We start from the raw sequence: 24,642 nt of genomic DNA on the forward strand, positions 1-24,642 counted from the left end.
GGCCCAGGCTCTTTCTTCTTTACTGTTCTGCCAGTGTGGACACAAGACTTCTCACATCTGAGATGGCCCCTCTGTGCCCCTACATGCACATCGCAGACAGCAAGAAGGGAAAAAGAGGAAAAAGGTGGGTACACTCCACTTCTTTTAAGGACATGACCAGGAAGTTGCTCACCTACTTTCCCTCATAAGCTATTGGCCAAACCTGGTCACAGAACCACACCTGCTTGCAAGGGAGGCTGGGAAATGTAATCTTTGGTTGCAAGGTTTTATGTGCAACTAAAGCTTCTAGTACTCTAGAAAAGGAGGCAATCAGTATTGGAGGGACCATTAGCAGTTTCTGCCACGGTCCATTTTGGCCACCCAGATATCTGTATACACCTGTCTTGACCTGCATAAAACATCTGCTTTCCACAAGGGAGATAGGCCTGGGGGCCTAATCAGTCACTTCCTTTAGGGCAAATCTGGTATGTGTGGGTGATGTGTAGCCTTCTCTAATGGCCCCAGTGACCCAGGGCCTCTCAACCAAAGAGAAGCTGTCTGCATCCCCTTCCCCCAGCACACCCAAATTCCATGGTGGAATTTGAACAGGAAGCCACAATAAAAAACTCCTACTTGAGATGAGAAACACGAGGTAGTTACTTGTCTATAGCAGTCAACAAATCTGGCAGAGGAGCAATTGTAAAACTCCCTTCCCTGTTTTTTTGTGGAGTTTTTGTGTGTTTTTTTTTTTTTTTTTTTTTTTTGAGACGGAGCCTTGCTCTGTCGCCCAGGCTGGAGTGCAGTGGCGCGATCTCGGCTCACTGCAAGCTCCGCCTCCCAGGTTCACGCCATTCTCTTGCCTCAGCCTCCCGAGTAGCTGGGACTACAGGCGCCCGCCACCATGCCCGGCTATTTTTTTATTTTTTTTTATTTTTAGTAGAGACGGGGTTTCACCGTGTTAGCCAGGGTGATCTCCTGACCTCGTGATCCGCCCGCCTTGGCCTCCCAAAGTGCTGGGATTACAGGCGTGAGCCCCTGCGCCGGGCCAAAACTCCATTCCCAGGTAAAGGAGTAAGTTCTTTGCTTGGCCCATCTGGCAGCCCTTGGTTCTCAGTGATCTGTGATTCGCGAAGCATCCTAAGCATCAGTATCACCTGGGAACTTGTTAGAAACGCAAATTATTGGGCCCCACCTCATCTGCTGATTCGGAAACTCTAGTGGTGAGGCCCAGCAGTCTGGCTTAAGTTCCCCAGATGATTCTGATGCACCTTGAAGTTTAAGAACCACTGCTCGGCCCGGCGCGGTGGCTCATGCATGTAATCCCAGCACTTTGGGAGGCCCAGGCAGGCGGATCACCTGAGGTCGGGAGTTCGGGACCAGCCTGACCAACATGGAGAAACCCTGTCTCTACTAAAAACACAAAATTAGCCGGGCGTGGTGGTGCATGCCTGTAATCCCAGCTACTCAGGAAGGCTGAGGCAGGCGAATCGCTTGAACCTGGGAAGCAGAGATTGTGGTGAGCCAAGATCGCACCATTGTACTCCAGCCTGGGCAACAAGAGTGAAACTCCGTCTCAAAAAAAAAAAAAAAAAAAAAGAACCACTGCTCTGGCTGGGCGCGGTGGCTCACACCTGTAATCCCAACACTTTGTGAGGCTGAGGTGGGTGGATCACTTGAGGTCAGGAGTTCAAGACCAGCCTGGCCAACATGGTGAAACATCGTCTCTACTAAAAATACAAAAATTAGGCCAGGCGTGGTGGCTCAGGCCTGTGATCTCAGCTACTTGGGAGGCTGACGCAGGAGAATTGCTTGAACCTGGGAGGTGGAGGTTTGCAGTGAGCTGAGATTGTGCCACTGCACTCCATCCTGGGCGACAGACTACACTCCGTCTCAAAAATAAATAAAAATGGAAATACAAAAATTAGCCAGAGGTGGCGGTGGGCACGTGTAATCCCAGCTACTCGGGAGGCTGAGGCAAGAGAATCTCTTGAACCAGGAGGCAGAGATTGTTGGGAGGCAGAGATTGCAATGAGCCAAGATTGTGCCACTGCACTTCAGCCTGGGTGACAGAGCAAGACTCCGTCTCAACAACAACAACAACAACAACAAAACACTGCTCTGATACCTGGTCCTCCGTGATTTCTGGGAAGTGGAGCTTCCACGTTCATTATTCTCTGTGGCCTTATCTGAAACGGAACTGGAAAGAATGTGCTTTTATTTAGGGCTCCTTGGCTTTCACAAACCACCTCCTGCTGGTGTGGGTTTGGGGACTTGAGTGGAGCTGTAGGAGTCAAATAATCTCCAGCTTTTATCAGATTCAGCTGTGGTTTCTTTGGCAACACAGTTCTGTCAAAAAACTAGAAGCTTCTGCTCTCTTGGCTTCTAATCAGTTCTGCTGTGGTAATCACAGCCGAAGATCCAGCCTAGACACATCTTAATTCTCAGCCCTGAAGTGTTTGGTCTGTTATTTCCTGGCTTCTGCGCTTAGCCTCGCCTCCTCACCCCCCAATTTAATGTGCTTACCTGGAGCTTCCCTTGAAGCCACCTGAAACAGTAAGTTGGATGGGAAGGCAGGACTCTTAATTTGACTTTTGCCTTTGAGCTCTCTGTATTTGGCAGAGAACCTCTTCTGAGGGTCAGTAGTAGAACTCAGAAAGGTGGAGCAGAGATTAGATTATTAGAAAGGTTAGTACCACAGTCTTCCCTGCTGCTGAGGCAGACTCTTGAGATCCCCCAAGATGGGGATTCTTGTTGACTTGGATTGTTAGCTACAGGCTGGGTCTTTGTTTTCTTTCTTTCCTTTTTTTTTTTTTTTTTTTTTAAATAGAGACAGAATCTCGCTTTGTTGCCCAGGCTGGAATGCAGTGGGGCAGTGGTACAATCTTAGCTTACTGCTGTTTTGAACTCTTGTGCTCAAACAGTCCTCTTGCTTCAGCCTCCCAAGTAGCTAGGACTATAAGTGCAAACCACCATGCCCAGCTAACTTTTTTTTTTTTTTTCAGATTTTGGAATTTTTGCATTATATCCTTAGTGGCTGAGCATCCCTAATTCGAAAATCCAGTATCTGAAGTGCATTTCTTTTGAGTGTCATGTTGTTGCTCAAGAAGTTTTGGATGTTGGAGCATTTTGGATTTCAGGTTTTCAGATTAGGGTGACTCCAACTGTTATCACTATTTTCAGTCCCTCTATAGGTTGGCTTTGCAGTGTTAACAAATGTACTTACATTTCTTCCATAAGCTATAGGCAATGTCTCCCGATGCCCCATTTTGTAAAATGAAGCCCTTTTTATCCTCTCCTCTCCACTTTCACTTCCCATCTTCTGGCAAAGACTAGTTGAAAAATAGTCCTCTGTGAATGTTGTGACCTCTGAGCCTCCAGGAAAGAACTGGGTCTTGGATGAAGATTCACCCTCTGGGTCAGACAGGAAGGCGGAATACTGCCTTTGTGTCCTAATTGAAAGCTGCCTCATTGTCATGTGGAGAGTACTACATGCACAGGGCATCTGCAGTAGCAGATCATGGTCTAGAGTAGCATTTCCCACACCATGTGCCTCAGAAGACTGGTCCAGCAAGATACCCTGCTGCAAACAAAAGGGTTCATGAATAACTAAACTCGGGAAACCCCGCATACTTTATCACTGCCTCTGCCTTTGGAGATTTACAATGCATACCAACTGTGAAGGCTCTGATACGTCCTGCAGCAAAGAAACTTATTTAGGCTATTGTTTCCCATTCATATTTGACCATGGTACTCCTTTTCATTTGATACTGATATGCCCATGAGATCAATATACTTTGTGAGTCACTGCTCTGGGGAAATGGTGACCATGGTGAGGGTGCTGGGCATCTCAGGGAAGCCCCATGATGGAGAACCTAGGGGGTCAGAGGCAGTACTTGTATGTTCAGACCAGCATCCAGTGTGAGAAGAGTCTGTTTCTGGGGCTAGGGTCCGCCATCACCCTGGGGCTTAACGATGAGAGGCCTACTCCAGAGAGGGATTTTTCCAGATGACCAGGCTTAGGAGGGGACTGTGGGCCGGGCTCCAGACCTTATATACTGGCATCTTAGGGGCTTAAGAGCAGGAATTGAGGCAGAAGTGAGTATCCCAGCTGTGGCTCCCAGGCAAAGGAGAATCCACTATAATCAATGCTGAGCTCTAGAGCTGATTAAGTGCCACCAAAGGCTGGGTTAGGTGCTGAGCCTGTAGATGGTGGGGAGCAGATGGCTCTGGCTCTGAGGGTGGAGTCTGGAAACTGGGTGCACTGGCCTGTGAGGTGAAATTCTCCCTCTGCCCTGCCACAGGGATTTAGATATGCAGGAGCTGGACAAGAGAGTTAATAAGGAACTAAAAATACATTTTTTGTCTTTTTGAGATGGAGTCTCACGCTGTCACCTGGGCTGGAGTGCCATGGCTCGATCTCGGCTCACTGCAACCTCCGCCTCCCGGGTTCAAGCGATCCTTGTGCCTCAACCTCTGAGTAGCTGGGATTACAGGCATGCACTACCACGCCTGGCTAATTTTTGTAATTTTATTTATTTATTTATGTATTTATTTATTTTTGAAATGGAGTTTCGCTCTTGTTGCCCAGGCTGGAGTGCAATAGCGCAATCTCGGCTCACCACAACCTCTGCCTCCCGGGTTCAAGCGATTCTCCTGCCTGAGCCTCCCGAGTAGCTGGGATTACAGGCATGCGCCACCACGCCCGGCTTATTTTGTATTTTTAGTAGAGACAGGGTTTCTCCATGTTGGTCAGGCTGGTCTCAAACTCCCGACCTCAGGTGATCCCCCTGCCTTGGCCTCCCAAAGTGCTGGGATTACGGGTGTGAACCACTGTGCCTGGCCTAATTTTTGTATTTTTAGTAGAGACAGGGTTTTGCCGTGTTGGCCAGGCTGGTCTTGAATCCCTGACCTCAGTGATCCACCCGCCTTGGCCTCCCAAAATATTGGGATTATAGGCATGAGCCACTGCGCCTGGCCTAAAAATACATTTGCTGAGTGCCTACTGTGCGCTAGATGCTGGGGATGCAACCATGAAAACACAGCCAAGGTCTCAGGCCTCATGGAGCTTACAGTCCAGTGGGAGATGAATTATAAGAAGCTAACACACAGATGCATGTCACCCACTGCAGTATGAGTGCTCAAAGGATAAATGTAGGTCAGGTGGGGAGGGCAGGTAGGAGAGTGCAAGATGAGAGGATTTGATCTCATCAGGGGAAGTTTCTCTGAGGCAGTGAAACTTGAGCCTCCTCCGTAAGGAATAGTGGACCAAGAAGTGAAGGACGACACACACATATCTAGCCGGGGGGAGCAGCATGTACAAAGGCCTGGGGGTGGGCTGAGGCTGGGGACAGGGCAGGGTCAGGCCACCCAGTGCCATGCAGGCTACCGCCAAGAGTTTGCTTTCACCGGAGAGTGAAGGGAAGACGTTGGAGGGCTTCCACCTGGGAGTATCCCCTGTTTTGGCCACTATATGGACTGGGGGGCTGGGCCTGTGAGGTTCCAGATGTCAACTGAGTAGGACAGGAAGACACTTCAGGAATCCGAAGGGATTTGGGAAGTGACCAAGGTTTTCTCTTCCCATCTGTTGCTACTATCTACCTGAAGTCTTGAGTTTCACAATTTTCATGCAGTTTCTTCTTGGTTGTGCAACTCTTGACAGTTTCTAACTTTGGGTTTGGCATCTCGGCCAGAGTCATTTCCTTCCTGGAGCTGGGCTCTCATTGAGTGGAAAATTTGGGGCTGCTATGTAAAATGAAACAGAAGAGAATGAACCCTTCCTCTCCGGAAGGGGCCGGGCTGTGCCAGGTCCAGACAGGGCTTGTGTGTCTGCTCTCTTGGAAGGCTGCCCTGCCTCCGCCCCTTTCCAGCTGCTAGGGCACAACAGAACATGCCTACATCCAGACCCTGCCCACTGCAGACTTGCCACTGGAGGCGACACTGTTTTGGGCCAAAACCACAGGCCAGGGGTCAGAGCACCTGGGTTCTAGTAATAGCTTGTGTTTAGCACCTGATATGTGCCAGGTAAGCATCTTTTCTCACAACTCTTATTATCCCTATTTTATAGAAGAGGAAACTGAGGCTCAGAGATTAAGTAATTTCCCAAGGCCACATAGCCCATAGTGATGAGGCCAACATGGGAATTCAGGTCTGCCTGACCTTACCCGCTTCTTGGTAGGTTACTAGATTGCATCATCACTTGCCCCATCTGGAAAATGGGTAAAGACATTGCCCTATCTACTTTTCTTGTAGACTGGGAAGGTTCAAAGCATACGAGATGGTGAGGTTTTCTTTGTTTCTTTTTTTTTTTTTTTTTGTGAGACAGAGTCTCACTCTGTTGTCCAGGCTGAAGTGCAGTGGCATGAGCTTGGCTCACTGCAACCTCTGCCTCGTGGACTCAAGCAATTATCCTGCCTCAGCCTCCCGAGTAGCTGGGACTACTGGCGCCCACCACCACGCCCAGCTAGAGGTTTTCTTAAAGTTAATTGCTGAGTGGCTAAGGACAGGTCACTTGACCTTTTCCTTCCATGCATTCATTATTCCATTGGAAAAAAGCAAGGCTTTAATCACTGTTGGTCTCTTGAGAGTGGTGTTAGAATGAACAGAGTGTGGAATGCCTCTAAGCCAGTCCCCAGTGTTTCAGAGAGGAAGGGTAAGAGCTAGGGTGAAGTGAACCATCCTTTATTGAACTCCTGCTAGATGCTTAGCTCTTACAACTAGTCTCCTCCAGTTGCAAGTTTTGGACACATACTCAGATGATGCATTAGCCAGGATAGGCTTGGTTATGCTGCGGTATCAGATAAACCTTGAAATCTAGTTCCTCAACGCAACAAATATTGATTTCCCACTCACCTGAAGTCCAGTAAGGGTCATGCAGCCTCCTGCATTCTTGTAGCCAGCTAAGTCATCTAGAACATGTGGCTTCCAAAGTCACTGTGGCTGGGGAAGAGAGGGTTGGAAGAGGCTCACTAGCTGTTAAGTGCTTCGTCCAGGAAGTGATAGATAGCATCTTCACTTAAAATCCACTGGCTAGGCCGGGCGCGGTGGCTCAAGCCTGTAATCCCAGCACTTTGGGAGGCCGAGGCCGGCGGATCACAAGGTCAGGAGATCGAGACCATCCTGGCTAACATGGTGATACCCCGTCTCTACTAAAAATAAAAAAAAATTAGCTGGGCGTGGTGGCGGGTGCCTGTAGTCCCAGCTACTCAAGAGGCTGAGGCAGGAGAATTGCTTGAACCCGGGAGGCGGAGCTTGCAGTGAGCCGAGATCGCGCCACTGCACTCCAGCCTGGGCAACAGAGCGAGAATCTGTCTCAAAAAAAAAAAAATCCACTGGCTAGAACCAGTCGTGACGCCCAGCCTAATTGCTAAGGAGGCAGGAGTATGAGACAGAGCAGATGGTTATTTGGTAAGTACTCTCTCAGCTACAGGTTACCTCAGTTCCAGGGCGCTTACAGTAAGGTTCTGCCTAACTGTGGCCTACAAGGCCCTGCATGGTCTACCTTTGCCCGGCTCTTCAACCTCACCTCTACCACTTTCCCCCTCAGTCATTCCCCTCAGCCACTACGGTCATCCTTCACTTGCGGGGATATGCCAAGTGTTTGCTGCCTAAGGACCTTTGCACACGTGTTCCCTCTCCTTGGAATGCTGTCTCTCCCCAGCTTCCCTACATTCTTCCATGCTAGTCCTTTTCATCCTCTGGGTGTCTGCATATGTGGCCCCTTCTCATGGCAGCTTTTCCTGGCCAGCCTATGGAAGTAGGTCCATCAGGCACCCCTCCCTCGAGTTTGTTTTCAGCATAGAGCACCTCCCAGTTTATAATTAGATGTCTTTTATTTAACTAGCTTAATGTCAGTATTACGGCAGTTTTGATAAAGGATTCCCCATTCCCTAACACAAAATGAATGAATGAATGAATGAGAAAGAATGAGTCATTTCAGCAGCAGGTGGAGTACAAGTTCAGTGGAGAACCAGGGATCGCACAATTAGGAAGGCAGGCTGTGCTCTCAGGTTTGCCTCATTTCAGGTCTAGCTTGAGTTGGGAGTGTGTGTGTGTGTGTGTGTGTGTGTGTGTGTGTGTGTTGTGTGTTGTGTGTGACTGTGTATGGCCTGGAGGGCCAAACCCAGGGATTAGGAGGGAAAGGAAAAGAGAGGGCGCGGAAAGCTGTGTTTGTCCCTGATAGAGCCAGCTGGCACGAGGGTGCTTTAGTTATAGCTGAATCACTTTTGTTTGTTCTGGAAGGGATCTATTCTGGCCACATGAGTCAGCCTAAGAACAAATTACTGTGTAGTTTGACGGGCGTGAAGGGTTGGGGGGAATTTCCAGAGTGTGCTCACCCAGGAAAGACCTTGTTGCCAGCTCTGAGTCCCCTCTGCTCCAACAGCTCCTGGATTTGCCACCGTGTGAAATGTTCTCAGGCAGCTAGTGTGACGGCCCAGGCCCCGTCAGCCAAAGGCCCAGCACCCATAAACATCCTTTAGTCCTTTCTCCTGAAGGAACTGGGCCATAAACAAGCACATAATAAATAAATCTGCATTCTAGGCTTCGCTTTCTTCAGATATAAGACAACTACCTTATACTTGGTAGCAATTATCCCCCAGAGCTGTTACCTGAATTAAATAGGCCACAGATATGGGCAAGAACTTAGGAAAAAAAGCCTGACCTAGAGTTAGAGTGGTCATTATAATAACAGTAGTAGGAGGCCAAGGCGGACGGATCACCTGAGGTCAGGAGTTCGAGACCAGCCTGGCCAATATGGCAAAACCCCGTCTCTACTAAAAATACAAAAATTAGCCGGGCGTGATGGTGTCTGCCTGTAATCCCAGCTACTCGGGAGGGTGAGGTAGGACAATCGCTTGAACCCAGGAGGCAGAAGTTGTAATGAGCAGAGATCGTGCCACTGTACTCCAGCCTGGGCAACAGAGCGAGACTATAGCAAATGATGGTAGCTTAGATCTGCTGGGTGTTAATTTTTTTATCCTCATGGCTGGTCTCGGGTCGGGGGTCCACTTCCACATCTCATTTGTCGGATGAGGAAGCCAAGGCTTAGGAGGATCCCCCTGCTGGTGAGCCTGACTGCAGGACACACTCCAGACTGCGGGAGTTCATTTGCCTTCCGTGGCATCAGTGATTCATGCTCATTAGGAAGAGCACAGGCATTCCGAAAACAAATCAGAGAGAAAAAGAAATCATGCCTGGCAACCAGCTCTGGTGAACCATGACAGGGGCACAGAGAAGCGCTTCTGCCCCTCCCCCATTTCCTCCTTGTATCTGGGACTCAGCCCTCATCACTGTGGGTTCTCAGCCTCAGCAAGGCAGCTTTCACGGATATCCAGATTCCAGGCTGGGTGCAGTGGCTCACACCTGTAATCCCAGAACTTTGGGAGGCCAAGGCAGGTAGATTGCTTGAGCCCAGGAGTTTGAGATCAGCTTGCGCAATATGGCAAAACCCTGTCTCTACCAAAAAAAAACAAAAACAAAAACAAAAACAAAATTAGCCTGGCGTGGTGGCGTGCTCCTGTGGTCTCAGCTACTTGGGAGGCTGAGGTGGGAGGATTGCTTGAACTTGGGAGGTAGAGGCTGCAGTGAGCTATGGTTGCACCAGTGCACTCTAGCCTGGGTCACAGAGCAAGACTCTGCCTCAAAAACAAAAACAAAAAATCCAGACTCTGTCTGAGAACTGCCGTGTCAACCTTCTGGTGCCTGTGGCCACCTAAGCTATAGATTAGCTGTTCCTTCCGTCACCTGCGTCCCCTTCCTATCCCTGGGGGTCCCAGCAGGGAGAACCCTGGGCTGCCCACCTCCAGTGTGTGACTGAGGCTGGCTGCCAATGGCGTGGGCACAGGCCCCCACCTCCCCTGCTGCTGGGCTCCTATGTTACTTTGCTCTCATGGCCACTGTACCTCTCGGGACTGTGCACCAAGTTGCTGCCCACCTAGAATCGGTTTCCATTAGAGTGTTTAAAATGTTAAAAATAGCCTTCCACCCTAAATGCTTCCTTCGGAGGCCCGAGTTGGGAATCAGAGGTTCTTTTCTATCTGCACCTTTCTGGCAGAACTGAAGGAGGGTGGCTGTTTGCACAGTGTTGTGGGCCCCTGCCCTGGGCCAGCCACTTCACATTTGTCATCATGGAGCCCTGGGACGGCCCTGGGAGGTGTGGGGTTATTATTCTGATTCCACAGGAGAGGCGCATGAAGCTCAGAGGGTTAGGAGGTCTGTGCCTGGGCGTGAAGCTGGAATCGCAGAGCTTGGGTCTGGCTCAAGCCAGAGCCGACGCTTCCCCACGCTTACTCTTGTGATCCTAGTTCTACTCTTTGATCACAGTCTGTGTTTTTGGATCTCATGATCCTGCAGAATCAACTTTATGTGTGGAATTCTCTTGAGAATTTAATCCTGGGAGGAAAGAGTGCTGTCTTGGAAGCCTGAGGCTGCCCCTGTCTATCTGTGATAAGAAGTCCGTGAGCAGCTCACTCCTGAGCCTTGGCCTTGGCAGATAGGAAGCTCAGTGCGAGAGTTAAAGCTTGTCACAGCCCTTTCTTGTAGGCATTTGGCCTCCTTTGCCTCATCCTGCCTTTGGTGTTCTATTTTTATTTCACTAGCTCTCTGGTGTGCCAGCCTGAATGAGTGGGCGTTGCGTCTTTCTAGCTAGCAGGGAGCAGGTTTGGAGGGATGAGGACAGAGGCCATTTTCTCCATCTTCATGTTTGGACAGTGGGACAGGCATGCATGGGCCTGCCTGTCCACCCAGCTCAGACCATGCCGGCAGCTCCAGGGTGGAGATGAGGGCGGTTCATGTTTATACGCACCATTTATTGCTTGCATTTTAAAGACATCTAAAAACTCAAAGCTTGAGAAGATGGGGGTTTCACAGGAAACCAGAACTTCTTGTTGGGGCTGACATGGGGCTCTGTTGGCTTACATCCGTGGCTGGTGTGACCTGGTGCCTCTTGTGTGGGAGGGTGGATGTTAGCCCCAAGTGTGCTGACAGGTCTGGTCACAGGTAGCCCTGCCGACACCGCCCCTCCCCATCTGTTCCTCACTCCTGCTCACTTCCAAATGCCCTGTGGTGCCAGGTGGGGCCACCGCATGTCACTGCAGAAGGAACAAGAAAAAGAAAGAGAAAAGCTGGACTCTCTTTAGGATGAAAACATAATGACATTTTTTATCTTCCCCACGGGTGGAGCCCACAGAGGTCGGCCACAAATGGGTTGGTGGCCTTGATGTTCCTGCCAAATGTGTTTTGACAGAGAGGCAAAGATTTGTGCTGAACAAAACATTACCCTGAATAGGACACTGGACTGGGAGCAGTGGCTCAGGCCTGTAATCCCAGCACTTTGGGAGGACAAGGTGGGAGGATCACTGGGGCCTAGGAGTTTGAGCCCAGGCTGGGCAACATAGTGAGATGCTGTCTCTACACAAAATTAAAAATTAGCTGGGCGTGGTGTTGCCTGTAATCCCAGCGGCATGGGAGGCTAAGAGAGGAGGATAGCTTGAGCTCAGGAGTTTGAGGCTGCAGTGAGCTGTGATCACACCACTGCATAGCCTGGGTGACAGAGCAACACCCTGTCTCAAAAAAAAAAAAAAGGAACAGGACACTGAAGTTAAGTAAGGCTGTAAGTATCACCCTCATCCCCGTTTTACTGTGATGAGAACAATGAGGCTCAGCCAGGCAGGCCTCCGACAAGGAGAAGGTGCCTCATTTGCTGGGATCATGGGCGGTTCTGGGTGTAGGTGAGACCTTTAGGGAGCATTTTATACTGTTGCGGGCCTGGCCTCTGCAGGAGGTCACTGTTGGGAAGTGACTTCAGCGAGCCCAGCCGGCCCTGAGCCAGGGGAGCCACTGCTGCCCTTTTGACACAGATGTCACAAGGATGACAAGCCTTTCCAGGAGCATAAGCCCCACTTGAGGCAGTTTGAGGAGGGAGGGTGGAGGGAGAGAGGCAGTCTCTCCCTGCCAGAGAGGGGAGGCTGGGAAAGATGAGGACTGGGAGTGGCGGGGGGTAGCCTTCCAAGGGAGCACAGGCAGAGCTTTCACTTCTGTGCACCCTGGGAGCGACAGCTCTGTTCCAGACCCGTGCTTGAATCAGCACTCACCCCGACATTGTTCATTGTCATTCTGTACAAGGGACTGGTTTTCTGTTGTTGTTGTTTTTTGAGACAGAGTCTTGCTCTATTGCCCAGGCTGGAGTGCAGTGGCACAATCTTAGCACACTGCAGCCTCCGCCTCCCAGGTTCAAGCGATTCTCCTGCTTCAGCCTCCTGAGTAGCTGGGACTACAGGTGTGCACCACCACGCCTGGCTAATTTTTGTATTTTTAGTAGAGACGGGGTTTCGCCATGTTGGCCAGGCTGGTCCAGAACTCCTGACCACAGGTGATCTGCCCTCCTTGGCCTCCCAAAGTGCTGGGATTATAGGTGTGAACCACTGTGCCCGGCCTAGGGACTGTTTATTCTCCTCCTGGGCCTGTGGAAGGCAGTGGGATGCCATGAGGCAGACAGTGATCCTGTGATTCCTGCAGGCAAGGCCCTTGTTGGAGAGAAACTGGCTTCTAGACTCCGAGTTTCAGCCACAAAGGCCTTGGCCTGATGGCAATCAGGATGGGGGGGTGTGGCCTATAGAACCACTGAAGTGCCCGTGGAGCCCAGGTTGGGAGAGAAGTGCATGTTCTCTGGGTGCCCTTACGTCAGTGGTTCTGGGAGGAGACCCCGCCTTCCTGCCTCAGTGCTGCCTGCCTCCCTGTTTCCCTTGGGCAGGTCTTGTTCCCCGCTGAGCCTCAGCTTCCTGACTTGAGATCTCCAGGGTTGTGGGGAGGGTGCTTGAATTGAACGTATCAATACACAACGTGGACATTCGTTGGTGAAAAACAGAAGTGAGGTGGATCTGAATCTCATGAAGGGCTGATTCATCGTCTGCTCACTGGAGCCAGAGGGGTCCCCAGGGCAAACGCTACTCACACTAGCTTGGAAGACTCAGTTCTCGTCATTACTTTAGCTAGCTTGCTAACTGATTTTTTTTAAAAGAAGTATACTTTACTGTGTAAATAATGCATAATGATTTTGTTGAAAAATTCTATGATATGAATAAATCACAAAGAAAAAAACCCCACAATATAAAACAGGCCAGGCGCGGTGGCTCATGTCTGTAATCCCAGCACTTTGGGAGGCCGAGGCAGGTTGATCACTTGAGGTCAGGAGTTCAAGACCAGCCTGGCCAACATGGTGAAACCCCATCTCTACTAAAAATACAGAAAAAAAAAATTAGCTGGATGTGGTGTTGCAAACCTGTAATCCCAGCTACTCAGGAGGCTGAGGCAGGAGAATCGCTTGAATCCAGGAGGCAGAGGTTGCAGTGAGCCGAGATTCCTCCACTGTACTCTAGCCTGGGCAACAGAGTAAGACTCTGTCTCAAAAAAAAAAAAAAGAAAAAGAAAAAGAAAACTAAAAGACTCTCATCCTACTCTTCTTATCCTCAATATGTGGACTATTTAAGAGATAACCAATATTTTAAGACTATAACCACCACAGAAATAAAGGTCCCATATTTTGAGCTAAGCAGTGTCTCCATTAGTCTTCATAAAAGTTGTCCAAAGGAGGGCCGGGCATGGTGGCTCACACCTGTAATCCCAGCACTTTGGGAGGCTGAAGAGGGCGGATCATGAGGTCAGGAGATCGAGACCATCCTGGCTAACACGCTGAAACCCTGTCTCTACTAAAAATACAAAAAATTAGCCGGGTGTGGTGGTGGGCGCCTATAGTCCCAGCTACTCGGGAGGCTGAGGCAGAAGAATGGCGTGAACCTGGGAGGCGGAGCTTGTAGTGAGCCGAGATTGTGCCACTGCACTCTAGCCTGGGCGACAGAGTGAGACTCCGTCTCAAAAAAAAAAAAAAATTATTTAAAATATCAGTGACAGTAAAGAAAACACAAGGAAGAAGCCACTCAGGCCGGGCGCAGTGGCTCACGCCTGTAATCCCAGCACTTTGGGAGGCTGAGGAGGGCGGATCATGACGTCAGGAGATCGAGACCATCCTGGCTAACACAGTGAAACCCTGTCTCTACTAAAAATAGAAAAAATTAGCCGGGCGTGCTGGTGGGCGCCTGTAGTCCCAGCTACACGGGAGGCTGAGGCAGGAGAATGGCGTGAGCCCGAGAATCGGAGCTTGCAGTGAGCCAAGATCACACCACTGCACTCCAGCCTGGGCGACAGAGCGAGACTCCGTCTCAAAAAACAAAACAAAACAAAACAAAACGAAAATTTATTTAAAATGTCAGTGACAGTAAAGAAAACACAAGGACGAAGCCACTCATCACCCCCCGACATTCAGCCTTGTTGTTATTTTTGTGCATTCCCGATGTCTCCCCAACTCCTCCCACCCTGGGGAAGTCAGTGATCACCCCTTTGTTCCTGTTTGTCTGGGGATTGGGGCGTCTGCCCCTGGGGGAATTGGGGCTGGTGGTGGCAGTGATGGCAGTGGTGTTTCAATAGTTCTGCCCTAGCTGGGTGGGAGACAGTGAAACCAGTCCCAGGTTTGACTGTTGTTGGCTGTTTTACTTGACACAAGTCATTTCACTTATCTGAGCCTCAATATACTCAAAAATAAAATGCAGATAAACCTATGAACTACCAGAGATTGTTGTGAAAATTAAATAAATATGCACGGTGCCATACCAGTGTGGTGCTATGCAAATTTAGGTCCTATTATTTTAGTTCAAAAGCTTGGGTTTGAAAAGTGAGGTCCCAGGGTAACAATTGGTTTTGTTTAGAGAGGCACAGTTGACCAGTTCAAAGAAATGTTGCTGGAGATGTTTTGTCCCAGCCCTACCTGGGACATCTGTTGTGACATCCCCTGTGTCATGCTTTATGTCATGCTCTGTGTGACATCAAGCGAGTCAGCAGCCCTTCCTGGGACTTCAGTGCCCCAGTTTTTGTCATTCTCAAACATGAGTCTATCCCAAACCACCAGAGAATGAGGGACTTGAATGCAGGGCTATAGCATCAGGTTTTATCTGGGAGGCAATGGGGAGACAGAAAGATTCAGGCTAAGGAGTGTGGACATTATCTAGGCAATGGGGAGCCCCATAAAGGCTTCAAGCAGGGAAGTGACGAGGCCAGATGTATACTTTGGTAAGAAGTAGCCTGGCAAGGGTGTGGAGGCTGCCTGAGCTGGCGGCAGGGCCCAGCCAGAAGGGATAAGATCAGGGCCCAGTGGAGGAGGGGAGAGGAAGCTGTTTCACAGAGCAGCTCTGAGAAGCTGGCTGGAAGCTGAGGTTGACACACCCTCGAAGCACCTTTGGGGTTTCCCAAGTTGATGTAAAAAGGAAATGATTACCCTCGAGAAGGCAGGGGAGTTCTTCGGCCAGTCCTGCGTGCCTTTGGCATGTGATCTTAGCAAGTCATTTAACCTGCTCAGGCCTCAGTTTCCTCATCTCTGAACAGGGATGAGAAGCAGAGATGTTGTGAGGATTCATGTCTGTGCAGCTGGGCCTGGGCCTGGTACAGCCCGTCCTCAGTGGCCATGGCTGCTGTTTTAGGATTCTCATCCATCAAGTGGGAAGGATGCGTTTGTCTCCACTGCGTGAAAGGGAGGTTGTAGGACAGCCAGAACTTTGATCCCTAGGGGCTGGAGTGGGAGCTTAGAGGGATGGTGTCTTTGACCCGCTCACGTGTTCAGGGAAATGTGCAGTCTACAGCGCCCATTCCCATCTCTACTCTCCTTTCCCACATGACACCCCAGCGGGAGGCAAACGGACGCCATTATCACCTCCGTTTTATAGGTGAGGGAAGGGAGACCGAGAGGAGGAAGGTGACTTGTTGGAGGTCACACAGCTGGTTGGGTGGAAGCAGGTGTATGTGACTTAGCACGTCAGAGCTCCACCTTCACCAGGACTGCCATGTTCAGCCACTGCTCTTTTTTTTTTTTTTTTTTTTTGAGACAGAGTCTTGCTCTGTCGCTCAGGCTGGAGTGTAGTGGTGCGATCTTGGCTCACTGCAAGCTCCGCCTCCCCGGTTCAAGTGATTCTCCTGCCTCAGCCTCCCAAGTAGCTGAGACTACAGCCGTGTGCCACCATGCCCAACTAATTTTTGTATTTTTAGTAGAGATGGGGTTTCACCATGTTGGCCAGGCTGGTCTCGAACTCCTGACCTCAGGCAGTCCACCCACCTCGGCCTCCCAAAGTGCTGGGATTACAGGTGTGAGCCACCGCGCCTGGTCTACCGCATTTTACAGATGGGGAGGCCGGGGCCAGAAAGGGAAAGACCCTCCCGCCCTGCAACACCATGCATTTGTGGCAGAGCCAGAATTAGAACCCAGGTCTCTGACTTCCAGAACCAGTCTCTCAATGGCTACCCCACTTCATGGAATAGTAATAACTTTCTTTCCACCTTGTTTTCAGGGAAACCGGCTCCTGAAATCAGGTGTCCCATTCCAGCCTTCCCTGACTCTGTGAAGCCAGAAAAGCCTTTGGCAGCTTCTGTAAGAAAGGCTGAGGATGAACAGGAAGAGGGGCAGCCTGTGAGGATGGCCACCTTTCCAGGCCCAGGTATTTTAAATTTAACTTTTTTACTTAAAGCACTTTTATTTAAGGAAATGAAGATATATCTATAAGGACATTCAGCTTAGCATATAAGAGCAAAAAATTGAGGCTGAGCATGGTGGCCCATGCCTATAATCCCAGCTCCGTGAGGCTGAGGCGGGAGGATGGCTTGAGCCCAGGAGTTTGAGACCAGCCTAGGCAACCTGGTGAGACCTTTTCTCTACAAAAAATTTTAAAAAAATCATCCAGGCATGGTGGCATGCACCTGGTAGTCCCAGCTATTCAGGAGGCTGAGGTAGGGGGATTGCTCGAGCCCAGGAGTGCAAGGCTGTGGTGAGCTATGATCACACCACTGCACTCCAGCCTGGGTGACAGAGCGAGACTCTTCCTAAAGAAAGCAAAAAATCTGGCAACAACAATGGGGGATAATAAAATTAATGTCAGACAGTCACAACAAAGTACTATCAACAGTGATGTAGACGTGCATATGTACATGGAAACATACTGACAATATCGGGAGGTAGAAAAGTAGAAAAAATCAGGTAACAAAATGTATATAACATCTGTTACCATTTTTGTGAGCAGAAAAGAAATAGCTCGGTAATTGGAGGCTTTCTAGTGCCAGACACTATTCCAAGTACTGTACTTCAAAGATATTGACTCATTTAATCTTCAACTAACTATGAATTAGGTATTGTGATTATGCCCATTTCATGGATGAGAAAACTAAAGCACAGCGAGGTTAACCAACCTGGCTGAGGTCATGTACTGCCGGGTCCCTGTTTTCACCAGTGGTCTCCCGTGTCCCCAGCACAGGTTGGCCCTGCGTGCAGGCTCTGGACCGGATGTCTGACCATTTCTCTGTCCATTCTCCATAGGCCCCGGCCCTCGCAGCCATGCAGTGGGGAATTGAGGGGTGCTTCCTGCCCACCACTTTCCTCCCCTCCATCAGTCACAGTCTGCTGAAGCCCAGAGAGGGAGAGCAGCTTGCTTAAGGTCACACAAATAGGAAGTAATGTCTGAGCTGTGTGATTTGAACACTCACATCCCTAAGCATCATACTCACTGCTATCCCAAATCCTTTTGGACCACTTCAGATTTGTCTCCGTCGCCTGTGCCCAGGCAAGGGCTCAGGGACAGTTTCCAAATGACAGAATGGCTCAGCCAGCAGATGACCTCCCTAGGGGAGCTGCTGCTCAGCCCAATCTCCATTCTCACCGCCTCACCCCTGGAGCCCTGCCTCACCTCCTGTCTCCTGCGGCCTCCTGAGTGGTGAGCCAGAGACCCCAAATCCATGTAATCTCAGTTCACTGTTGCCGTTTCTGAAGCCAGGGGCGGCATCAGCTGAAAGGAACATGTTTTGTGGGCTTTTGTATTAGACAGACTCATATTTGAATCCTAGTGCTGCTGTTTTGTAGAATGACTTAGCGTTTGTACCTCAGTTTACTCATTTGTAAAATGAGGAGAATAATAGACCCTATTTCATCACGTTGTGGTAAGAAATCCTGCACCTGAGTGTTGCACCATGGAGGTGCTCATTAAATGTTATCTGATATTATGAACATTCCAGACACTCCAGATAGGTTGAATCTAGAAAGTTAATTCTAGGCCAAGGAGTCTGGATTATTTCCTGTAGCTAAATATATGTATTTTTAAGTGTAGACTTTTGATCAGCAATGAAAGATAAGGGGAAATGGTCCTGACCAAAGGGAAAATTATAACAAAATAGGGAAATTGTAGGGGCGTGCTGGTCAGGATGGAAGAGGTAATAGGCATAGCAGTTCCTTCTGGTATTCTTTATCTAGGTTACTGTAAAGATAAACATCACAGCCAGCCGGGCGTGGTAGCTCATGCCTGTAATCCTAGCACTTTGGGAGGCTGAGGCGGGTGGATCACGAGGTCAGGAGATCAATACCATCCTGGCTAACACGGTGAAACCCTGTCTCTATTAAAAATACAAAAAATTGGCCGGGCGTGGTGGCGGGTACATGTAGTCCCAGCTACGCGAGAGGCTGAGGCAGGAGAATCACTCAAACCCAGGAGGCGGAGGTTGCAGTGAGCTGAGATCGTGCCACTGCATTCCAGCCTGGGTGACAGAGTGAGACTCTGTCTCAACATAAAAATAAAAGTAAAATAAACATCACATGTCTCTGTCAGCCTTTGCTGTTTACTTTCTTTCCTTTTTTTTTTTTTTTTTTTTTGAGATAGGCCTTGCTCTGTTGCCCAGGCTAGGTGACGGTGGCACGGTCATAGCTCACTGCAGCCTCAACTTCCCTGGCTGAAGCAATCCTCCCACTTCAGCCTCTCAAGTAGCTGGGACTACAGGTGTACATCACTACGGCCGGCTAATTTTTTATTTTTGTAAAGATGGGATCTCATTATGTTGCCCAGGCTGGTCTCGAACTCCTGGGATCAAGCGATTCTCCCACCTTGGCCTCCCAAAGTGTTGGGATTACAGGCATGAGCCACTGCACAGAGCCCTATTTACTTACTTTCTTTTTTTGGCAGTGGGATGGAATCTCTGTCACCCAGGCTAGAGTGCAGTGGCACAATCTCGGCTCATTGCAACCTTTGCCTCCCGGGTTCAAGCGATCCTGCTGCCTCAGCCTCCTGAGTAGCTGGGACTATAGGCACGCACCACCACGTCTGACTGATTTTTGTATTTTTTGTAAAGATGGGGTTTCGCTGTGTTGCACAGGCTGGTCTTGAACTCCTGGGCTCAAGCAATCCACCTGCCTTGGCCTCCCAAAGTGCTGGGATTACAGGCGTGAGCCACTGCACCCAGCCCCTATTTGCTTTCTTGATGGCACTTGGAGCAAATGTGCCCAGGCAGGTCAAGATGATAACTACAATTTGCAGGCAGAGACAGGAAGTTGATTGTCTATCTTTGCCTAAATTGAAAATAAGAAATCATTCATTTCATCAAACCACCCAAAGCTTGTCTTCTTTCGGGAAAACCCCAAGGTTCCACTGAGCCCCAGAGTTCAAACTCATCAATTATCTTAAAGGATTTTGGTAGGAGTGAAGTATACTGAGCCCACATCTTGATCCCTGTGATACCCTGGCTCCCCCTTGCAGTAGGTGGGAAGGAAGTGGGAAGAGACATGGAGGAGGAAAATATGTTTGTTTGTTTTGTTTTTTGAGACAGAGTCTCGCTCTATCACTAGGCTGGAGTGCAGTGGCGCGATCTCGGCTCACTGCAGCCTCTGCCTCCTGGGTTCAAGTGATCCTCCTGCCTCAGCCTCCCGAGTAGCTGGCACTACAGGTGCGCGCCACCACGCCCAGCTAATTTTTTGTATTTTTAGTAGAGACGGGGTTTCACCATGTTGACCAGGATGGTCTTGATCTCTTGACCACCTGCCTCGGCCTCTCAAAGTGCTGGGATTACAGGCATGAGCCACCGCGCCTGGCTGAGGAGGAAAATATGTGAGCAGAGGAGCCATGGATAGGCTATGAGCACCTCGGCAAAGCAGTCTCGAAGCTAGAATTCAGATGAAAGGGTTTTGAGCAGCTGAAATAACTGTTACAAAGCCTTAGCTGTAGGAGAGGCCACTGGGCTATCAGTCAGAATCTGTTTACTTACTCTACACATAGTTTCACCAGCCTTGGTAAAATACCAAGTACTGCATGTGTCACAGCCTGACCTTTGTGCTCTATAAACATCAGCTCTTTTTACCTGGACAAGAAACAGACCATTATTGCTCTTTTTACATTTGAGAAAGCTCAGATAAGTGAGGCACAGCTCATCTGAGGTCAGATCTTGAGTAGTGCTGGAGCCAGCGCTTGAGCCAAATTCTGTTTGATACTAATAAAGGAGATGGGGCAGCTGGGGGTAGACCCGCTGCCAGCATCAGGGCAGGACATAGAAGACCCCATGTCAGATACAGTGCCGCTGCTTCTGCAATTCTTGTACCTGCAATGACACAGCTCGGCAGGACCAGAGGTGGTGCATTTTGCTTGAGAAAGCAGGCATATTAGCCTCAGTAGAATAGCAACAAAAAGGCCAAGGCAGTCGGATCACCTCAGGTCAGGAGTTCGAGACCAGCCTGGTCAACATGGTGAAACCTCATCTCTACTAAAAATATAAAAATTAGCTAGGCATGGTCTCAGGCGCCTGTAATCCCAGCTACTTGGGAGGCTGAGGCAGGAGAATTGCTTGAACCTGGGAGGCGGAGGTTGCAGTGAGCCGAGATCACGCCACTGCACTCCAGCTTGGGTGACAGAGAAAGACTCTGTTTCAAAAACAAAAACAAACAAAACAGAGCAAAAAAGAAAAGCAAGAAAAAGAAAGCTTCTGGAAGCATTTCCATAGGAAATGGTTTGTTTTTTAGCTAAGTCCTGGCACTTGATCTGACCTCTGATTAGCTGTGCCTCACTCTTGGAAACAAGATTATGTAGAAGCCCCAAGCCCCATCTATCACTATCACCCAACAAGTATCCCATCTTGTTCATCTACTCTCCTGCCCCATCTCCCTCCCCTCCCTTAGCCATTATTTTAAAACATTTTTATATGAAAAAATTACAAACATACAAAAGCCAAGAGCATAATGACCCTCCATGTCCCCATCAGCTGGCTTCAGTAATGATCCACCCATGGCCAACTTCTGATTAGTTTGTATGGAATCCAGGGAGATTTTCATATCCTTGATAGCTGGAGAATTCCTTCTCATTCTCCTCTCTCTGCCCTTGGACATACAGTGGGGGCCTTTAAAGATTATGGTTGTGAGTTTCTCCTACCACAGATAACTACCCTAGGCACGAGGAGCCAATCCGATTAGACCCCAGAGGAGGGGAGGGCTGGGTAGGGAGAGATGGAGAGTAATGGCTGGTGGGTCCTGTCTGATTTTCCAGACCAGAGTCCATTTCTTTTCCCCAAGACCACAGGGATAAATAAACCCAACTAATAGCCCTCATGTGTCGCAGGAGCAGGCCTCAGGGATTCCCCCAAACTGAGAGGCCTGGGGGAGCCTCCTGAGCAAACCCCAGGCATTAAGTCAGATAGGAAACTCATGACTTGTGTGAGGCAAGCTCTGACCTCAGATTTACTGGGCACAGAAGGACCCTGTGTGCAGAGACAGCCCTGCCCTGTGGCCAGGCCTGGCAGCAGGATGGAACTCAAGTTAGTCTGGAGCAGCGGTTCCCAGTGTGGGGCCCACACCTGCAGTGGTACACAGAACCTGGGTGTTAGCACAAATATAGATCATGTGTAGAAGAACTAGGGACTTCATGGATATTACTGTTTAACACAAGGCTGAATACATAACACTGGAATTAAAGTTGGTTGAAAGAAAACCGTCAGGTGACTCATAGTGAGGTGGCACAGACATGGCCAAAAACTTGGAGACCGGATGAACATAACTGCAGTCTGAGGGATGCGGGCCAAGGGTACTGAGCTGAGGCCAAGAGAAGGCAGGGCAAGGGTGGAAGTGGCCATCACAGAGCAGCCTTTCTGCAGGACGGGGGCCCTGTGCTGGCCAGCAGAGGCCTCCATTAGTCCAGGTCCTTGGTGAGAGGCAGATACCAAGACAGGATAGGATTTCATCAACAAGATAGGATTTCATTAGGACAAATACTTGCAAGAAAATGCAGAGGGAGCTGGGCAAGGCTGGGAGAGCCTTGGGACCATGGTGCGCCATTTCCGAGGAAGGCTGGGTGGGCACTTGCTGGCCTGCCTTCGGTCTAAGGCAGACTCTCCAGGGTGTCCGTTGGCCATCACAGTCCTATCTGCCTAGTGTACCCTCTGCACACAGTGCCTGGGGAACAGCCCCTGGGAAGCATGGTCCGGATGCAGATGCAGGGATTGATTGGAGCCAGCCACAGCCAGGCCCGCAGATAGCCAGGCTCCCAGCAGCTGGGGGTCTCCAGCTCGCATTCTCCTGGCTGCTAGATTCACACAGCAGCAGGGCAAAGATCCCAGGAATGAGGCTGAGGGCAGCCCCTTGACAGGCTCCAGACCTTGTCTCAGGTGATTTCATGTTATCAGCTATCTGTGTGGGTTAATTGTTTAGCCAGGCTGATTTTACTTTCAGTCTCGTGAAATAAAATTTTTTGTTTTTTGTTTTTTGAGACTGAGTCTCGCTCTGTTGCCCAGGTTGGAGTGCAGTGGTATGATCTTGGCTCACTGCAACCTCTGCCTCCCAGGTTTAAGCGATTCTTGTGCCTCAGCCTCCTGAGTAGCTGGGCCTACAGGCATGTGCCACCATGCCCGGCTAATTTTTGTATTTTTAGTAGAGACAGGGTTTCACCATGTTGACCAGACTGGTCTCGAACTCCTGACCTCAGGTGATCCACCTGCCTCAGCCTCCCAAAGCGCTGGGATTACAGGTGTGAGCCACTGTGCTGGCCAAAACAAATTTTTTTTTTTTGATACAGTCTCGCTCTGTCCCCCAGGCTGGAGTGCAGTGGCACAGCTCAGCTCACGGCAACCTTTGCCTCCCTGGTTCAAGCAATTCTCCTGCCTTAGCCTCCCAAGTAGCTGGGATTACAGGCACTCGCCATCATGCCAGGCTAATTTTTGTATTTTTGTAGAGATGGGGTTTTACCATGTTGGCCAGGCTGGTCTTAAACTCTTTTTGTTTGTTTTTTTGTTTGTTTGTTTTGAAGTGGAGTCTCACTCTGTCACCCAGGCTGGAGTGCAGTGGCACAATCTTGGCTCATGGTCTTAAACTCTTAACCTCAGGTGATCCACCTGCCTCGGCCTCCCAAAGTGCTGGGATTACAAGCCTGAGCCACTGTGCCCAGGCCAAAATAAATTTTTTAATAGCCAAAGTTCCAGATGAGTCATTCCTTTCCTGATGTTGTAAGCCACAAATACCTGAAGCAGGTAGATTTATCCAGTAATCTTGGGGTCAAGTCCAGTTTCCTTTGGAAGGGTCAGGTCCCCAGTTACTCAGAAGCTGTCCTTGCCATGGGGCTTCCTAGGTATTTCCAGATGATGATGTTTGAAGCCTCTGGCCTTTGGCCAAGGCCTGCTTCTGTGCGGACCAGCCACCATGGCTCACCTCACCCACGGTCTGTGCCTGCGCCCACCGAGGAGCCCCCCTACCAGATGGCCTCATTAGTCTTCAGATTAATCTTCACATGGGGCCTAGTGAAGAAATTTCACCCTCTTTAACCTCACGTTTAAGTGACCCTAAACTACTTGTCAAACATTCCGTCTTGTGAATCTTGTTCACTCACTAAGGGATTGGGGCATAGACATGGCCAAGCATGGTGGCTCACGCCTATAATCCCAGCACTTTGGGAGGCCGAGGCAAGTGGATCACTTGAGGTCAGGAGTTCAAAACCAGCCTGGCCAACATGGTGAAACCCCATCTCTAATAAAAATACAAAAATTAGCCGGCATCATGGCGCACGCCTATAGTCCCAGCTACTTCGTAGGCTGAGGCAGGAGAATCGCTTGAACCTGGGAGGGGGAGTTTGCAGTGAGCTGAGATTGTGCCACTGCACTCCAGCCTGGGTGACAGAGTGAGACTCTGTTTCCAAAAAAAAAAAAAAAAAAAGAACATAGACACTGGAACCACTGATGACTGTGTGCCCCATGTGAAGATTAATCTGAAGACTAATGAGGCCGTCTGGTAGGGGGGCTCCTCGGTGGGCGCAGGCACAGACTGTGGGTGAGGTGGGCCATGGTGGCTGGTCCGCACAGAAGCAGGCCTTGGCCAAAGGCCAAGGCCCTTGGAAAAGTGACTTAACTTCTCCATGCCTCATTTCACCATCTGCAAAGAGGCAATGAAAATGGTGCAGTGGTACCTTATTTCCTGATTGGCATGAGGATTAGATGAGTTAACGCACGGGAAGGATTTTTTTTGAGACAGGGTCTCATTCTGCCTCCTAGGCTAGAGTGCAGTGGTGTGATCATGGCTCAATATAGCCTTGACCTCCTGGGCACAAGTGATCCTCATCCTCCCAAGTAGAGGGGACCACAGGTGTACACCACCATACCTGGCTATTAAAAAAAAATCTTTTGTAGGACTGAGCGCAGTGGCTCATGCCTGTAATCCCAGCACTTTGGGAAGCCAAGGTGGGCAGATCACGAGTTCAGGAGATCGAGACCATCCTGGCTAACACAGTGAAACCCCATCTCTACTAAAAATACAAAAAATTAGCTGGGTGTGGTGGCGGGCGCCTGTAGTCC

General features: G+C 49.7%; 1 protein-coding gene across 1 annotated transcript in view, besides 18 other annotated features; it reads left to right on the plus strand.

Annotated features, from left to right (window-relative positions):
- Window positions 1-17,778: part of a biological region, named in NCBI's record as "3p25 IRAK2 Alu-mediated recombination region", that runs on past the window's edge. NCBI's record gives its function as "recombination_partner: LOC107303337 | LOC107303338 | LOC107303339 | LOC107303340".
- IRAK2 (interleukin 1 receptor associated kinase 2) overlaps window positions 1-24,642 on the plus strand; it is a 78,827-nt gene that overhangs the window by 19,086 nt on the left and 35,099 nt on the right. The window contains exon 3 of the mRNA NM_001570.4: window positions 16,365-16,511. Within this exon, the coding sequence (NP_001561.3) occupies window positions 16,365-16,511 (147 nt within the window). The remainder of the gene's footprint in view (window positions 1-16,364; window positions 16,512-24,642) is intronic.
- Window positions 188-1,168: a meiotic recombination region, noted in NCBI's record as "meiotic double-strand break mapped by DNA meiotic recombinase 1 chromatin immunoprecipitation followed by single-stranded DNA enrichment and sequencing in the germ cells of some male individuals with the PRDM9 A/B genotype". NCBI's record gives the evidence for it as "EXISTENCE:chromatin immunoprecipitation-seq evidence [ECO:0000229][PMID:25395542]".
- Window positions 972-984: a nucleotide motif, noted in NCBI's record as "nucleotide motif; similarity to the predicted 13-mer PRDM9 A binding motif (LD hotspot motif), CCNCCNTNNCCNC".
- Window positions 1,342-1,842: an enhancer, noted in NCBI's record as "H3K27ac hESC enhancer chr3:10227030-10227530 (GRCh37/hg19 assembly coordinates)". NCBI's record gives its function as "activates a minimal SCP1, AML or CMV promoter by ChIP-STARR-seq in primed H9 embryonic stem cells {active_cell/tissue: H9 hESC(primed)}" and the evidence as "EXISTENCE:reporter gene assay evidence [ECO:0000049][PMID:30033119]".
- Window positions 1,843-2,343: an enhancer, noted in NCBI's record as "H3K27ac hESC enhancer chr3:10227531-10228031 (GRCh37/hg19 assembly coordinates)". NCBI's record gives its function as "activates a minimal SCP1, AML or CMV promoter by ChIP-STARR-seq in primed H9 embryonic stem cells {active_cell/tissue: H9 hESC(primed)}" and the evidence as "EXISTENCE:reporter gene assay evidence [ECO:0000049][PMID:30033119]".
- Window positions 5,599-5,678: an enhancer, noted in NCBI's record as "active region_19419". NCBI's record gives its function as "activates an Ori minimal core promoter by ATAC-STARR-seq in GM12878 lymphoblastoid cells {active_cell/tissue: GM12878}" and the evidence as "EXISTENCE:reporter gene assay evidence [ECO:0000049][PMID:35858748]".
- Window positions 7,009-7,303: a mobile genetic element, noted in NCBI's record as "direction; forward".
- Window positions 7,269-7,289: a non allelic homologous recombination region, noted in NCBI's record as "AluYm1 recombination sub-region, recombines with the AluY recombination sub-region a within the 3p25 FANCD2 Alu-mediated recombination region and the AluSq2 recombination sub-region within the 3p25 BRK1 Alu-mediated recombination region". NCBI's record gives the evidence for it as "EXISTENCE:nucleotide sequencing assay evidence [ECO:0000219][PMID:19280651]".
- Window positions 8,178-8,487: an enhancer, noted in NCBI's record as "active region_19420". NCBI's record gives its function as "activates an Ori minimal core promoter by ATAC-STARR-seq in GM12878 lymphoblastoid cells {active_cell/tissue: GM12878}" and the evidence as "EXISTENCE:reporter gene assay evidence [ECO:0000049][PMID:35858748]".
- Window positions 12,721-13,015: an enhancer, noted in NCBI's record as "tiled region #12699; K562 Activating DNase matched - State 7:EnhWF". NCBI's record gives its function as "activates a minimal TATA promoter and a strong SV40 promoter by Sharpr-MPRA in K562 cells {active_cell/tissue: K562}" and the evidence as "EXISTENCE:reporter gene assay evidence [ECO:0000049][PMID:27701403]".
- Window positions 13,914-14,196: a mobile genetic element, noted in NCBI's record as "direction; forward".
- Window positions 14,013-14,021: a non allelic homologous recombination region, noted in NCBI's record as "AluY recombination sub-region e, recombines with the AluYm1 recombination sub-region within the 3p25 BRK1 Alu-mediated recombination region". NCBI's record gives the evidence for it as "EXISTENCE:nucleotide sequencing assay evidence [ECO:0000219][PMID:19280651]".
- Window positions 14,873-17,589: a meiotic recombination region, noted in NCBI's record as "this region was identified as a recombination hotspot within the HapMap CEU population". NCBI's record gives the evidence for it as "EXISTENCE:nucleotide sequencing assay evidence [ECO:0000219][PMID:20981099]".
- Window positions 15,477-15,492: a nucleotide motif, noted in NCBI's record as "nucleotide motif; similarity to the predicted 16-mer PRDM9 C-type binding motif, CCNCNNTNNNCNTNNC".
- Window positions 15,535-17,612: a meiotic recombination region, noted in NCBI's record as "this region was identified as a recombination hotspot within the HapMap YRI population". NCBI's record gives the evidence for it as "EXISTENCE:nucleotide sequencing assay evidence [ECO:0000219][PMID:20981099]".
- Window positions 15,881-16,183: a mobile genetic element, noted in NCBI's record as "direction; reverse".
- Window positions 15,978-16,009: a non allelic homologous recombination region, noted in NCBI's record as "AluSx recombination sub-region, recombines with the AluSx recombination sub-region within the 3p25 PRRT3 Alu-mediated recombination region". NCBI's record gives the evidence for it as "EXISTENCE:nucleotide sequencing assay evidence [ECO:0000219][PMID:19280651]".
- Window positions 16,236-17,778: a meiotic recombination region, noted in NCBI's record as "meiotic double-strand break mapped by DNA meiotic recombinase 1 chromatin immunoprecipitation followed by single-stranded DNA enrichment and sequencing in the germ cells of some male individuals with the PRDM9 A/C genotype". NCBI's record gives the evidence for it as "EXISTENCE:chromatin immunoprecipitation-seq evidence [ECO:0000229][PMID:25395542]".

The sequence above is a fragment of the Homo sapiens genome, chromosome 3 (assembly GCF_000001405.40).
Source record: "Homo sapiens chromosome 3, GRCh38.p14 Primary Assembly".
Taxonomy (NCBI): Eukaryota; Metazoa; Chordata; class Mammalia; order Primates; family Hominidae; genus Homo; species Homo sapiens.